This window comes from Homo sapiens, chromosome 2, assembly GCF_000001405.40.
Source record: "Homo sapiens chromosome 2, GRCh38.p14 Primary Assembly".
Lineage (NCBI taxonomy): Eukaryota > Metazoa > Chordata > Mammalia > Primates > Hominidae > Homo > Homo sapiens.
The window spans coordinates 175,157,625-175,174,099 of record NC_000002.12 but is presented as its reverse complement, the minus strand read 5'-3'; the positions used below and the strand labels follow the sequence as shown (position 1 = coordinate 175,174,099).

The window sequence follows — 16,475 nt, the reverse complement described above, 5'->3', positions numbered from 1 at the left end:
AGTAAGGCTTCTGGTCAACAGTAGGCTGTTAGTAGTTAAGTTTGGAGGAAGTCAAAAGCTATATGCAAATTTTTTTATTGCATGGGAGGCTGGTGGGGGGAATCAATGCCCTGAACCCCTAACCTTATTCAAGGATCCACTATATTTTAAAAAGAGTGCAAAGGTAGTATCAGTAGGATTTAATGCCTAGATCTCAGGAACCAGTTAGGAGAAGAGAGGGTGTGTGCATCTAGTAAGTGCTAGCTATACTGTTATTTAACCCTCATAACAACTCTGTAAACTTGGGAATAATTTCCAAGATGCAAAGGAAAATAGGCTCAGAGGTTAAACAGTTCCCAAAATTACATAGCTATTAAGTGGCAAAGTCAGGATCCAAATTCAGATCTTCCTTAAAGCCCATGCTCTGATTTTTTTTTTTTAATATGACTGTTAGCAATGACAAGGAAAAACCTGATTTGGGGAAATGATGAACTTTGTTTTTTATATAATTTTAAATACAAGAGGTATAATTTTACAGATCTGGGCTTGAAAAGAGAAGAAAGGTATGTACAGCACAGACTAGATGTGCATAAGAGAAGTGCAGAGCAGCAGTAGGGACCCAGCTCCACACAGGTAACAAATTGGTAGTGAACATCATTCACCTAGTTTTGTGACTCTCCAGCAATGTTGGGAAGCTTGCTAATACAAACTGATGTAAAGAGCAGTGAGGGTTATCAGGGTTGTGCACTGGGAAGAAGAGATGATGGAAGGTCAAAGTGGCTCTAGGCAGACAGCAAACAAGCGCACTGTTCAACAAAATGACCTATGCATTTCAAACTGGGTAAGGAACAAGGGAAGACACAATAAAGGTGATAAATTGAAATAACAGAGGGGTCAAGAGCTCAGAGGTTTCACTAATGTTGAAAAGCCATTTCAATAAGAACCAAAAAATACACAAGAAATTTAAAGAATTTCAGAGTTCAAGATCTTGGAAATAAGGTAGGCTCGAGGAATGATCAAAATTTGAGGTCAAGTTGCTGAGTGATTGAAGTTGGGTAGAAATAAATGTAAATGCTGTTAATTTTAAGGCAGGATTGTAGATAAATGGGAAATAACATTTGAGAACCAAATAAACTACTTGTGCTTCTGCTGTAAATTTTAAGTTCTGTTAGACAAATTTAGTGAATATGGTTTGGTTTGGGTGTTGGGTACTTGGAAGAGGAAAAAATTGTATTGTTATGGTCCTACGTGCAAAGCCTTTTAAAATATTTTGTGATTTCTACATAGGAAATTATAAATGAGTTGTTGATTCCTCTACATGCTGAGCATATCAACGTAGTTATTTCATATTATAATTCTACTGACAGTGTTATGGACTTAACACCCAAATACATGGTCCATCAGTTACTTGCCCAATTCTTTACATTATTAAGGGCAAAAAAATATTATTTCCCTAAAAACTGGTTCAGGTTCCTGGCAAGAATTTGCACTTCTTTCTCCTGAATTGACAAAAGTAATGTGTCTCCTCTGAGACATTTAGTGACTTCGATCTTCTTTCTCAAGGGAGCTTAAATATTGGAGAGAGGAAGTAAAGAGAGTACCTAAGACCAATAGAGACTCATAAATCCAAGAGCTTTTGGTTGTTCCTCCCATTAGCATGAGCTAGCATCCTACAACTTATTATGGCAGAGACTCCTGAGGACCCATGATTGTTGTCAGTGGCGCTTCAACAACAGCTTTTAGTCAGCACTTCCCAGCCATGGAGACTCCAGGATCTCCTCTTATAATTGCATCCCAGGCTTTGCTTCCTCAAATAGCTACACAGGTTGGCTGAGTCTCTCAGCTGCCAGACATCGCAGTATTTTTCCCTCAAGAGTTGTATCTTAAGGACAACTCACAGAATTCTCCGACCACTCTAGTGCTATCTAAAGTGTCTGTTACTTTCAAGTTCTCTAAAGTTGTATTTAAAAAGCAAGTTCTAATATTGTATGTTATTACACCCCGGCTTTATTTTCTCCATAGTACTTACCACAATTTAAATTATCTTGTTTATATATGTAGCATGTCTCCCCCTGCCCCTGCACCCAACCACAAGAGTCTCCTGAAAAAACTTTGTCTTATTTATAGTTGTCACCTCAGAGCCAGAAACAGTGCCTGGAATGTTCATGCTCAATTAATATAGATGCTTTATGAGTAAGGAGAGCATTAGGTTGATGCTTGACCTCATTGGCCATAGTTGACCTATGAGGCTGTATCCAAGGTAAGAAGGTAACTGAAACGAGCAGGATGGTAGTCTAAGGACCCAGGAGGATCCATATGCTGACAGACCTCCCTTGATTTCTAGGATACAGATCACATGGCTTTGGTGTTACGTGGGCCTCAGGTTGACAAATAGACTAGTTATGGGAAGCTATGAAAGGTAGGAGTGATCCTATTTTTATTAATAATATTGTATAAAAAGAATATAATGATGGCAATCCCTCTTTCTGGTGAGTCAGATGAGAGAGAGAGGTGGCATTAGCATCAAGAATGAAAACAAGGCCCTTAAATTCCATTCTCCCTCTCTCTGGGCTGGTTTTGTTGAAGGTAGTATAAGCTAACTGGTATGATGTGAAGATAAACATAGCCCTTTTTCCCCATAATGCCACACCCCATTAATTATAAATTCTTTTGGGAAACCCAAGATTTGGGTTGGAGGGTAGACATCCCTGCACTTAAAATGTCCATGATGAGGACAAGTGCTGAGAGGTAACTTTAACATAGGCCATTTCAGCAATGTGCAGGAAGACCCTGAGCTGGCAGAGAGAGGAAAAGATCTGCCATGAGATAGAAGCTACCAAAATGTCTGTACAACGTCTAGGGCCACATTATCCTATTTCATTTCTCAGATATCAGTGGGGTAATCATGTCCTGCGTCTCCCACCCCTTTCACATCTCACACACACACACACACACCACACACACCCCTACCTTGATCCCACTGATAAAATCCCAGCTAATCCACTGTACTGGGCTGCATCCTGAGAATATCATGAAAATGTAGAGGCTCTTTCCCTAAGCCTAGGATTAGTTGTACCAAGTAGACATAAGGGGTGCCCTGTAGTCTTCTATGTTTTGGTTAGCTGCAGACAAACAGAAACTATGTTCTGAAAATCAATTATTAGTGAGAGAGAGAAGGAGAGGAAGTTGAAAGGGAAGATGGAGAGAGATATGGTTTGGCTGTGTCCCCACCCCAAATCTCATCTTGAAGTGTAGTTCCCATAATCCCCACATGTCATGGGAGGGACCAGGTGGAGATAATTGAATCATTGGGGTGGTTTCCCCATCCTGTTCTCATGATAGTGAGTTAGTTCTCAGAGATCTGATGGTTTTATAATGGGCTTCTCCTTTTGCTGGGCACTCATTCATGTGAAGAAGGACATGTTTGCTTCCCCTTCCGCCATGATTGTGAGTTTCCTGAAGCCTCCCCAGCCATGCTGAACTGTGAATCAATTAAACCTCTTTCCTTTATAAATTACCCAGTCTCGGGTATATCTTTATTAGCAGCGTGAGAACAGATATATATATACACACACACACACACACACACACATATATACACATATATATACATACATACATACACACACACACACACACACGTTTTAGAATTTTTGTGAGCAGTTTTAACAGATTATGGATTAGCAGCCCTATCATACTAAGGTGGAAATACCACATTGTGTGGCATTTGTAAGATTTTGAGGGCACTTAGAGACCATCATTGTTTCTTGTGATATTTATTAACATTTTCATGACAGAAATGCATTTTCTTCAAATAGCCTCATTTTGTATCTAAGGAATATTAGTTTTATTTAGCAGTTATGCTGGGTTCTTAAAGGAGATTCACTAGACCCTCACTAATTCTCTTAGAACTAAGTTGGGTAGATGCATCATGGAACAAGACAGGCAAAGAAGAGGTCTACAAGAAGTTTCCTGCGTTTGTAAAGAGAAGACTGTAAAGAATTTTAGGACTCTTGGGGATATTGAGGAATGCAAAAGTGAGAACAAAGATGGAAAAGGGTGGCATTTTATGAGGATATGAATAAGTAGTGAGACAAGTTCATGGAATCAGACCTGAATATGGTAACTACATTCATTTTGACAATGCTGAATGTTTTCCCCACTTGTAGAAAAACTATAGTAAACAAACTGCTGTGGAACTAGAAATATGTGGATAAAGTGAGACCCTTTGTTAAATGCCGGGCTGCCAAAATGCATATATAACAGATCGGCATAGTTTCCACCTGTTTCCTGCGCCTATCTTATTTTTTTTTCTCACTTTAGGTATACCCTCTCTTTAGAAAATTAGCTAAAACTGAATTATCAAAACAGATCAGAGTACTGTTCATATCACTAAACAGTTCTTCTCTTGTCTAAAAAGAACTGAAAGACTTTCTTTAAAATAATGTGTTTCTCGAATGCATCATGTAGATAACTAACTGCTTGACAACAGACTGGAGAAGTAGCAATGAGAAATTTAAAACCAAAGCTACTGCCCAATTGAATCAACACTGGAAAAAATTTCAAATGGAAAAACAATTTTTTTAAAAAAATCTATTCTAATTGACCCAAACTTCTTTTGAAATGTCGTAACATTTGCAGTTCTTTTTCTCACATTAGTTGTTTTGGGAGATGGAGAGAGAAGCATCTATTTAATCAATGCGTTCTAGACCTAACAATTGTGATGTCAATCAAACATTTTGTCCACCATTTCCATCATGAGTAATCTGAACTGTGAGGTTTTGCTGACATAATTAGTGTTACACTACAATGGCACTACTACATTACTGTTACTATATGGGGACGGTACTTTCATTTTAAGTAGGAAAGTGTTAATAATTTGGCTTAATGTTTCTTAACTAAAATTAGTTTTAAAAGAGGACTGAGTTGGCTTATACACATGTATGCGGTCCAGAGACCTACCTGTTAAAATGTCAATGCCATTACAATTTCACTTTTATGCCAGATATCATTCTTGAACTTCAGGCTCATTAACTCTCATACTATCCCCCAAAACCTTTCAACAATTTTGAGAGTGTATTTTATGTTAATATATAAACTAGTTCATAATTTTGTTCCAGACTAGAAATCAGTATTTAATAAATGGAAAAAATAAGACACTGAAAATCTTTTATTGAATAATGTAAATTCTCACAGAGGCCTCTGATCATACTTTTCAACTTGTGCCTATTTATTGAATAACCAACATCCTTACAGTTAATATTAAAATCTTTAAGTTGTGTGGGGTTTTTTGGAGGGGAGGGATGGGCAATTACCAGCAAACTCCGCCTCCCCCAAACCTCACCTAACCCGAAGCTCCCCGCCTCAGGCTCCCGGGGAGCCAAGGGGTGGGCTGAGGAACGCAGCCTACTTTTACCCACCTCCCTACCTAGTGCTGGGAAGTGACGGAAACGGAGACACCCGGCTCCTGGGGCTGGGCTCGGAGGACCCATCCTGCTTTCCCTCTAGCAGCCTTTCCGGAGCTCACCACCTTTCCTCCCCTCACACCGCCAAAGCCCTGCCTAGCCCTTCACCGCCGCCTGCACCCGCGCCCTCCTCCAGCCGACAGCCAATCACAGTCTTCCACAGCTCCGGGTTTACAGAAGTAACGCTCCTTGGGCCCTCTGGTCCCGCCCCCTCCAGAACTGCTTCCCGCCCTTCGGGCTCCTTGTCCAATCATGAGCGCCCGAGTGCTCTTTGATGCCCGTCCCCTCTACCCGCCCTGCCGAAGACCCGCCTTCTTCTCCTTAAGCCTGACGGAATCACCTGACTCGGAGGCGCTCCCTCAGAAGGAAGGCAAGAAGGGGCGTGTGGGTGAAGGGGAGGGGCGCCAGAAGGAAGGTGGGGATGCCGGGAGCGGGGCGAGCGGGCGGGGGTTGTCAGTCCGATCTCGCGAGAGAGGACGGAAGCCTGTGGGAGCCCGTGGCCTTTAAAGTGCCGTTCAGCCTTTTCCTCCAGGGGTGCTTTGTAAACACGGCTGTGCTCAGGGCTCGCGGGTGACCGAAAGGATCATGAACTAGTGACCTGGAAAGGTGAGTAACGATGGGCAGAGGTCAGCAGGGCTGGAGACTGTAGGGATACGGAGAAAGAAGGCGCTAACATGGCGACGTCGCTCAGCACAGTCCCCACCCCCCGTTTCCCATCACCTCGGGTGCTCCTGACGTGCTCCTTAGCCCTTGGGGCGATTGTGGCTGTGCTGCCACCTCGGCGGCCCGCGCGGTGTGGGCTTTGGGAACCTGACTGGCTGGGCCGGACCGTTAGGTAACCAGCGTTCGTTGTTCCGGCCCCTCCCTCTCGCGCGCTTTCCTAAGGCAGAGGAAAAAGGAATAACGGCTCCCTCTTAGACCCCTCCCTCCGAATTATCTTCACCCTACTTGGGTCAGTTCAGAGGTCCTCGGGGCGCGCGTCGAGTCAGCCGTGTGCGCAGGGAGACCTCTCCCACCCACAGTCCTTGGGTTGGGCGGGGAGAGGGCCCACTCTGGTCTCCCCACCCAGTATTCAAGCGATTGAGGACCGTGTATTGGTGATGGTGGCGGGGAGGAGGATCGGGAGGCGCGGCTGAAAATAGAATCAGGGTCCCTGGCTGCGGTGCAGCTTGAAGGAAAGAATGGTGTGGAGAACCTAGGAGCTGGAAGTCTCGGCCTTTTCCGTCCTTTCCGCCACCCTCACAATCCCGCTACCCCCAGCTTTTTCCCGGTGGGGCGGGGCTTAGGTGTGGGTGCAGACTGATTCTGGTATTTTCCCTTATTTTTTTTTTTTTAAATCTCTGGGTGGACAGCAGAGCGTATGTAAAGAAATAATTTGCTTTTCATCAATGCCCTAGGGACCAGGGCCGAAAGGGAGTGTGTGTACGTGTTTTCTATGTTCGCTCGTTTAACCGAACCTAGGAGGAAAAAGAGAGGAGGAGCTGGGAACTATTTTTGTGCCCCTAGGTAGTATAAAATTGGCTTTCTTTAATGGAGAGTCTTAAAACTGGTGAGGCCAAGAGCAAAACTACTGTGAATATCATGGAGTAAAAGAGATTACTCCTGATGGACCTTAGGCATCAGAAATTTTAGTGAAAGAAATGTTTCTCTTAAAATTCAACACCTATTTTAAATAGTGATGTAAAGCATTTCTTTACATGTACCTTCAGGTTTTCTAATGCTTTCCTGGCTATTATTTAACTGGTACTAAGGGATTGACTAATCCCTAAATTATAATGTGAAAGTTTAAATTTCTTAGAGGTTTTAAATTATGGAGACGGTCACAATGCATGCATTTAAGATATACATTTAAAATCAGAACAAAAACTGACTTTCTTTGAGCACACTTTTTGTCCTATTTGAAGAAACATGACCACTGGCGTTATCATTGTGAGTAACAGCCGTTCTGATCTTTAAATAGCCATATAGCTTTGGTCTCTTGAATCAAAATTATGAAGGTAAAGCTTTATTTATAAAAGCTTGTTAAAAAGTCAAACCTACAGGTTTAAGTGTCTTAAAGTACAAACACAGAAGCAGTTTTATCATGTATTAATTTTTTTTTCCTTACTTGAGGAATCCACCGTAAAAACTTTGTTTCAAAAATGTTAGGAACATCCTTGTAAAATACGTTTTAAATATACAGATTCCCCTCTGCAGATTAAGAAAGTTCATGGATCTTTAAGGCCATCAGTAGTTGCGTAATAGTTAAGAATCCTCGTCTTTGTAAAATAATTTCTAGGAATCTTCCAAATTTACCGTGATGTGTAAAAGAGTTTCTGAGAATCTTCCAAATTTACCATGATGTGTATGTTGCCTTCCTAAGACGTTTAATCTTGCTTTGAGAGAATGCTACTGCCATTAAGTTTTAAGAACTGATTTAAAATGTAATATCGTGGAAATTTAGAACTTAGTTGTTATGTATTTTAATTGTCAGGAAGGAGCTTTCAGGGACTTTTTTTTGTATGTGTAGTGTACATAATACCTTCTATAGCTCCGGGTGCATTTCCTGAAAATCCTTTTTAAAATATCTTATCCGAATGTTTATTTCGTATTTGGGGCACTGTATTTTTATTAGTTAAATATGTAACCCAGGAATTCCTGCACTTTTTTCTTTGGCGTTTTTTGTTTTTAAGCTAAGATAATAGTAGAGGCTGGGCGTGCGCGGTGGCTCATGCCTGTAATGCCAGCACTTCGTGAGGCCGAGTGGGGCGGATCATGAGGTGAGGAGATCGAGACCATCCTAGCTAACACGGTGAAACCCCGTCTCTACTAAAAATACCAAAAATTAGCTGGGTGTGTTGGCTCCTGTAGTCCCACCTACTCGAGAGGCTGAGGCGGAGAATCTGTTGAACCTGGGAGGCGGAGGTTGCAGTGAGCCGAGATGGCGCCACTGCACTCCAACCTGGGCGACACAGCGAGACTCCGTCTCAAATAAATAAATAGTAGAAATGGTTGTCAGCATTTTAACAAATAGTGGGGTTGGGGTGGTCTTTATTGGTATTCAGGATCTGAAAGCTCTATGACTATGGTAGAAAAATATGCCATACATCAAACATCTATCTGTAAGTAGCATTAACTCTTCAAAAAATAATGTACATTTTTTCTACCCAAATTTTTGTATTTTGGAAAACTTCGGTTTTAATGATACATACGTTCTTGTCTGGTAAATTGTTAGATCGTGTTAGATCAGGTAAACAATCTCACCAATGTGTGCTTTTTCTACTAATTTTGTCTAAAGGCTCTTCCTTCCAATATGAAATATACCTATAAGTAGGCATTTCTTTCTCTTTTTTATTCTTACTAAAATGTCATTGGAGAATATAAAGTAGTTGAAGTCTCCCTTATGAAAACCAGATTTTCATCAGAACCTCTCGTTAAAAATTCAGTGAATAGCAATAATTAATATTCAACTGATTTTTATAAAAGTCAATGCATATAGCACCTGTTGGGTTATTTTGTATAATTAAAATGTACCCTAAAAAAAATCCCACCTTAGCCAGGTGTGGTAGCTCACGCCTGTAATCCCAGCACTTTGGGAGGCTGAGGCAGGCGGATCAGCTGAGGTCAGGAGTTCAAGACCAGCCTGGCCAACATGGTGAAACCACGTTGGTAGGCGCCTGCAATCCCAGCTACTGGGGAGGCTGAGGCAGGAGAATCGCTAGCACCTAGGAGCAGGAGGCTGCAGTGAGAGCCGATCGTGCCACTGCACTCTAGCCTGGGCAACAGAATGAGACTGCATCTCAAAACAAAACAAAAACCAAAAAATTCACTTAGTATTGTTATAATCTGGAGTTTAATTTAGTATTTCTGTGTTTATCTCATACTCACACCTGTTCCTCAAGGCTAAGAACTTGTCTAAAATGCTGCATGTTCTCTTTATGTAAGTTTTAATGTTGAAGTAGTAGGATAGTATTCACCTATTTCTATTTGAAGGAAAACCCCAGAGAACATTTTATTTCCTTTGTTATGTTTCTCAAGGTTAAAAGGTTATATAGTAAGGTATAAGATAGTTTCATAGAAAATCAAGGAAATTTGTGGATCTTTAAGGCCATCAGTAATTGTATTTTATCTTATTTTATTTTTGAGACAGAGTCTCCCTCTGGCTTCCACGCTGGAGTGCAGTGGTGCAGTCTTGGCTCACTGCAATCTCCACCTCCCGGATTCAAGCGGTTCTCCTGTCTGAGCCTCCCGAATAACTAGGATTACAGGGGTGCACCACCATTCCCTGCTGATTTTTGTATTTTTAGTAGAGATGGGGTTTCACCATGTTGGCCAGGCTGATCTCGACTTCCTGGCCTCGAGTGATCCACTCGCCTTGGCCTCTCAAAGTGTTGGGATTACAGGCGTGAGCCACTACACTAGGCCTATTTTTACACATTATTTTATAATATAAATATATTTAATGTTACATATTATATAAATATAAATAAATATGTATTCATTATATGTGTCTTTTCAATTTGTTGAGACTTTTTGACAACCTTGAAACTGGTGTATTCATTTTCACTTTTAAGGCATTACAGGCATGAGCCACTGCACCCGGGCCTATTTTTACACATTGTGTTACAGGTGTATTTAATGTTACATATTATATAATTATAAATAAATATGTATTCATTATATATATCTTTTCAATTTATTCTTGTTGGCAACCTTGAAACTAGTGTATTCATTTTCACTTTTCTTTTTTTTTTTTTTGAGACGGAGTTGCTATGTCACCCAGGCTGGAGTGCAGTGCCGCTCTCAGCTCATTGTAACCTCTGCCTCCCAGGTTCAAGTGATTCTCCTGCCTCAGCCTCCTGAGTAGCTGGGATTACAGGTGCCCGCCACCACACCTGGCTAATTTTTGTATTTTTAATAGAAACGGGGTTTCACCATGTTGGCCAGGCTGGTCTCGAACCTGCCTCGGCCTCCCAAAGTGTTGGAATTACAGGCATGAGCCACCACCCAGCATCATTTTTCATTTTTTAAGTATGTTTATTGATTTTTTTTCCTTGGCATTTTGACATTGACAGTAAAGAAGAGATGTAAACAATGTTTTGGGGGCTTTGCCTATTCACCCATATTTGCATTCTGTATCTTAACAAAGATAGTGGTTCTCAGCCACTTTTTTGCCTTTCTACCCAAGGAATACAAAATACTTCCAACAGTAGTAGTGGCTTATTACCACAGAGATTCTCAACAAGACTGGTAGGGAAAGACAGGGAGAAATAATTGTAATTGGCAAAATACCATATGGACTTTGGTTATTTTTGTAATATATAGTATTTTTATCTATAATATTGACCATAAGTTTATAAATATATTCCCTAAATATTCTTTAGTTTGCTAGCAGAACCGAAACCTTTGTCATTCTAATTTTTTTAGCTTTGCTCCAATGTTATAGCTTTGGTTTTTCTAATTTTACTGTTCGGGCTAGTATGTTTGCTTGCATTTATTTATTTATTTATTTATTTATTTATTTATTTATTTATTTATTTTTTGAGACAGAGTCTCGCTCTGTTGCCCAGGCTGGAGTGCAGTGGCACGATCTTGGCTCACTGCAAGCTCCGCCTCCCAGGTTCATGCCATTCTCCTGCCTCAGCCTCCCAAGTAGCTGGGACTACAGGCACCCACCACCACGCCCGGCAAATTTTTTAATATTTTTAGTAGAGACGGGGTTTCACCGTGTTAGCTAGGATGGTCTCGATCTTCTGACCTTGTGATCCGCCCACCTCGGCCTCCCAAAGTGCTGGGATTACAGGCATGAGCCACTGCACCCAGCCTGCTTTTATTTATTAAACGTGTCGGAACAATTTTTTTATATATCAACTTGTTTTGCCATACTAACAAATAATTGTGTTCATTATTTTTGTTTTCTTCTAGTTTGTGCATATATATTGCAGTTTTTACAGAATTATATCAAATAAGTTTTATTTTACTTTTATAGCATTGTATTTTTCCATGTTGTATAACCTTTATGATATTTGATTGTTACTTGATAGTTGAAAAATAAGTATTAAATTTGTTCTAAATGCCTGACAGGAAAATAATAGTTTTCAGTTTATGCCTATTTTGACATTGAATTGAACATCTCTGTGCATTTTTTCTTTTATGAATTGTTTCTATAGGATACTAATCTCAAATGAATTACTAGTCAAAGGATATAAATGTTTCTACAGTTGCCAGATTTTTGCCTCCCCAAAGACTTGAGCGAGTTTACACTGTCAGCAGAGCATGAATGCGTTAGCTTTGCCATACTTTTGTGAACTTGGGAGTTATGATTAATGAAGCGTGATTACCTAATTGGGAATTATTTCTGGGAATAAGTTGTATTATTTAGCAGTTTTAAAATTATTTAGTTGGCCATATCATACTATAGTTATTTATCTACCAGTGATCTATGTGATGTGACAAATATTGTGTATTTCATATTTTCTGACATTTTACTGTCTTTGTTTCTTTTAAAGTTTACCAAAACTTTTGACAGACTGGTAACAATAATTCTTAGATTTCATGCAGTTTTATGTGGTTTGTACACTGAGTATTTTAATGCTAGTTTAAGAGTTAATTTCTGGGCTGGGCATGGTGGCTCATGCCTGTAATCCCACCATTTTGGGAGGCCTAGGCAGGTGGATCACCTGAGGTCAGGAGTTCGAGACCAGCCTGGCCAATGTGAGAAAACACCATCTCTACTAAAAATACAAAAATTAGCTGGGCATGATGGCGGGTGCCTGTAATCTCAGCTACTCGGGAGACTGAGGCAGGAGAATTGCTCGAACCTGGGAGGCAGAGGTTGCAGTGAGCCAAGATCACGCCAGTGCACTCTATCCTGGGCAACAGAGCGAGACGGTGTCTCAAAAAAAAAAAAAAAGAGTTACTTTCTGAACTATACATTTCATAGTTCTGTCTTATGAATGTGTCATTATGATTTATTAAGATTTATAATGACAAATTCATTTCCATGTAGGAAACACTTGGAATAAAGAAAGTGTATATGAGTATATGATAGCCAAATTGACTGAGTTTTGTCCCTGGCACATAGTTAAGTGTGTAATCAATATTTTAGGATAGTTATTAGAAGCCAGATTATCAGGGGTCTACCACTTACTGTGTTATCTTGAGTAAATTATATAACCTCTCTGCCTCAGTTTCCTTCTCTTTAAGGAGAATAATTTAACTCATAGTCTTGCTGTGAGCATTCATGTGATATATATACAATACTTAATACAGTGTCAAGAACTTAATGAGTACTCAGTTTGTGTTGTGGGAATTATTATTGAAGTTCATTCAGAAATAATCTAGCCTAGCCCTCCAGGCATGCTTGTGCTGTAGCTTGAAAGCAGTACAGCAACCATCTACTTGGTAGCTTTGGCAACAAAGTTATTTTTCCCTAAGAATTTATAATTTGTGGAGGAACATGCCACCTTAGAATTTTCGTAAATTCATTTGAGAGAATGTCTCATATTTTTTTGTTCCATATGTACCCCTTCTCAGACATTTTCTGTATCAAATTCCTTCAGTATAGCATATCCTTATTTTAAGATGATAAAATTATGATACTGTGATTTTCATAAAATCCAATTATCTTTGTATTTTTGAGACAAAGTCTTACTCTGTCATGCAGGTTGGAGTGCAGTGATGCGACTAAGTCTCACTGCGGCTTCCACCTCTGGGGCTCGAGAGATCTTCCCACCTAAGCCTCCCAAATAGCTGGGACCACACTCACATGCCACCACACTCAGCTAGTTTTTAAATTTTTGTAGAGATGGGGTCTTGCCGTTGCCCAGGCTGGTCTCAAACTCCCAGGCTCAAGCGATCCTCCCACCTCAGTATCACAAAGTGCTGGGATTACAGGCTGCTCCCCACCCCAACTATTCTTTTCTTCTACTCCACCAATCCTATTATAAACATTCTAGGGAAACCTTTCATTTCTCCTTCCCCATAGTGGGATTGAGATTATGATTAAAATACCACAGTTCTAAAGTTGTTTTGAAGTCTCTGCTAATTATACAATTATAACTACACTATCAATTTTTGGCCACAAAGTTGAGAATCAGTGAAATATTTTATCATTTGTAAGGTAGGTTTTAATGATTGTTGATATATGGATGTTGGGTCGAGGGATATTTTTTGTAGTAATACACTTTACTTACTTGAATTTTGACATACTTTGAAAACGGAAGAAAGAGGTGAGCTTATCATTGTTTTAATGGGCATAGTACATAATCCATAGTCTTACTTTATTTCATTTTTAGAGACAGGGTCTCTATCACCCAGGCTGGAGTGTGGTGGTGCAGTCGTAGTTCACTGCTGCCTCAAACACCTGGGCTTCAGCAATCCTCCCACCTCAGCCTCCCGAGTAGCTGGGACTACAGGCATGTGCTACTATACCCAGCTAATTTTTTAATTTTTTGTAGAGATGGAGTCTCACTATGTTACCCAGGTTGGTCTTGAATTCTTGGCCTCAAGTAATCCTCCCATCTCAGCTTCACAAAGCGCTGGGGTTACAGGCGTGAGCCACCACACCAAGCCGGTAGTGTATTTTATTTGTGCCCTCTTCATAATGAGAAATTTTTATTGATGTATTTTTCATAATGGTGATGACTATGAATTACTGTAATTCTTGGAGAACTGAATTTCTATTTCTATTTTCTTTTTGCTTTTACAAAAAATAAGTTTCTCAGGAGAAAAAAAGCAATGAAAGGTATTTTATCACCTACCTTGGGCAAAAATAATGCTATGGACCTTAGACCACATAATTCTGTTACCAAATCTAAGGTGATGTTATTAGCACAACTTGTGCTACTGTTGTTTATATTCATAATTATTACTCTGTAAATTTTTTGTATTTATGTATTTGTTATTCTATTATAATTTTAAACTATAAAACTACTTGCTTTCTTTACATTGCCTAGGAATAATCAAGACTCACTTAAAAAATATTTAATTTAAAAATTGGACTACTGATATTTTAATTGAATATTTTTGAGATATTGAACTGATTTCACTCTTCACATACTCATAATACAGTCTGGAGAAGTTTGTGATACTTTTTACGTGTACCATCAACTTTGAGAAATTTCATCAAAATTTTAGTATACTCTTGGGAATTGTGTGAAGGACCTCTCTCATGTCTGCTGTGAGTGGGGGAAAAAATACTGCTGCTTTCCTTGTTAACATTGGGCTTAATATTTTTCTCTCAGCTGATGAATTTGAGTTACCTAAATTGATGAACTAAACATTATATATCAAATAAACTTACAGATAGCATCAGAATCATGGGTTAAAGATTAATATAAAACTTTTTTTTTTTTTTGAGACGGAGTCTTGCTCTGTCGCGCAGGCTGGAGTACAGTGGTAGGTTCTCAGCTCACTGAACCCTCCACCTCCCAGGCTCAAGCAGTTCTCATGCCTCAGCCTTTTGAGCAGCTGGAACTATAGTCTCCGCCACCACGCCCCGCTGATTTTTTTGTATTTTTAGTAGAGACGGGGTTTCTCCATGATGACCAGGCTGGTCTTGAACTCCTGACCTCAAGCAGTCTGCCTACCTTGGCCTCCCAAAGTGCTGGGATTACAGGGTTGAGCTATCATGCCTGGCCAAAACTCTTATCTAAAAGTCAAACTGAGTATGTAGTTCAGTTTCTGGCCTTAAAAATAAAGAAGATAGTAAGATTAGGTATTTATTAGGCATTAGAAAAATGTACATTTAAAGTCAAAGTAAAATGCAGTAAAATTTATGAACTTAATAAATACTATTTTAGTGTCATGCACTATTCTGTGTATTTTACATATGTTACTTTTATATATTTTGATAGCCCTGAAATGTATTTTTTTTTTTACTGTAGAGGATCATAGTGTAATCATACAATTTAAAATTTTCCTGGCCAGGGGCAGTGGCTCACACCTACAATCCCAGCACTTTGGGAGGCTAATACAGGAGGATCATTGCCTTGATTAATGGAGGCTTTAAGTCACTCTTATTTTAAATTATCCATTTAAAATATCCACTTGGGTTCCTGTAGAGATGACCTCAGTTTCCAGTGTTCCCCCCAGACGTTTGCTTCTTGCCGTAGGATCAGGAAGCTTTAAGGCACTCTTATTTTAAATTATCCATTTAAAATATCCATTTTAAGTTATCCATTTTAAAATTATCCCTGGATAATTTAAAATAAGAGTTTGAGCTCAAGGAATTCAAGACCAGCCTGGGCAACATCGTGAGACCGGTCACTCCAAAAAAAATTTAGCTGGGTGTGGTGGCATGTGTACCTGTGGTTCCGCCTACTGAGGAGGTTGAGGTGGGAGGATCACTTGAGCCCAGGAGATCCAGGTTGCAGTGAGCCATGGTTGGGCCACTGTACTTACAGAGCAAGACCCTGTCTCAAAAAAAAAAAAAAAAAAAATCCTGAATTCAAAATACTTTAGTCTTGAGAGGCAAGTGAAGTCCTACTAGGTCGTGGCTGCAGGTTTTCAAACTCCTTGATTTAGGTTTGTTATTATGACCACTTTGCTATTCCCAAGGTGATCTCTAGGATCATTTCAGGAATGTATGAAGATAGTCATGAATGTACTGAGTGTTCGTATCCTGCTTCAGTTCACCTTGGCTGTGCCTACATGATGACAGATATTGGTGTTTTTTTTTTTTTGAGACAGAGTCTCACTCTGTCACCCAGCCTGGAGTGCAGTAGCGCGATCTCGGCTCACTGCAACCTCTGCCTCCCGGGTTCAAGCAGTTCTCTGCGTTAGCCTTCTGAGTAGCTGGGATTACAGGCACCTGCCACTACGCTCAGCTAATTTTTGTATTTTTAGTAGAGAAAGGGTTTCACCATCTTGGCCAGGCTGGTCTTAAACTCCTGATCTCGTGATCCACCCACCTTGGCCTCCCAAAGTGCTGGGATTACAGGCATGAGCCACTGTGCCCAGCCCATGATAACAGATGTTTGAAAGGGAATAAAGTCGTGTCTAGTGTCATTGTGCTAGCGTGCCCCTCCCCCTTCAGTGTTGGCCCCAGAT

General features: G+C 40.1%; 1 protein-coding gene and 1 non-coding gene across 14 annotated transcripts in view, besides 1 other annotated feature; both read left to right on the top strand.

Annotated features, from left to right (window-relative positions):
- Positions 5,879 to 5,948: a silencer, noted in NCBI's record as "silent region_12133". NCBI's record gives its function as "represses an Ori minimal core promoter by ATAC-STARR-seq in GM12878 lymphoblastoid cells {active_cell/tissue: GM12878}" and the evidence as "EXISTENCE:reporter gene assay evidence [ECO:0000049][PMID:35858748]".
- Positions 5,897 to 16,475, top strand: part of ATF2 (activating transcription factor 2) — a 95,945-nt gene continuing 85,366 nt past the window's right edge. For all 13 annotated transcript variants that reach the window (NR_045773.2, NR_045774.2, NR_045771.2 and 10 more), the window contains exon 1: positions 5,897 to 6,050. The gene's annotated coding sequence lies outside the window, so the exon portion shown is untranslated. The remainder of the gene's footprint in view (positions 6,051 to 16,475) is intronic.
- Positions 6,391 to 6,467, top strand: MIR933 (microRNA 933). The gene has a single exon (NR_030630.1). It is a non-coding gene; the product is annotated as a microRNA 933 (primary transcript).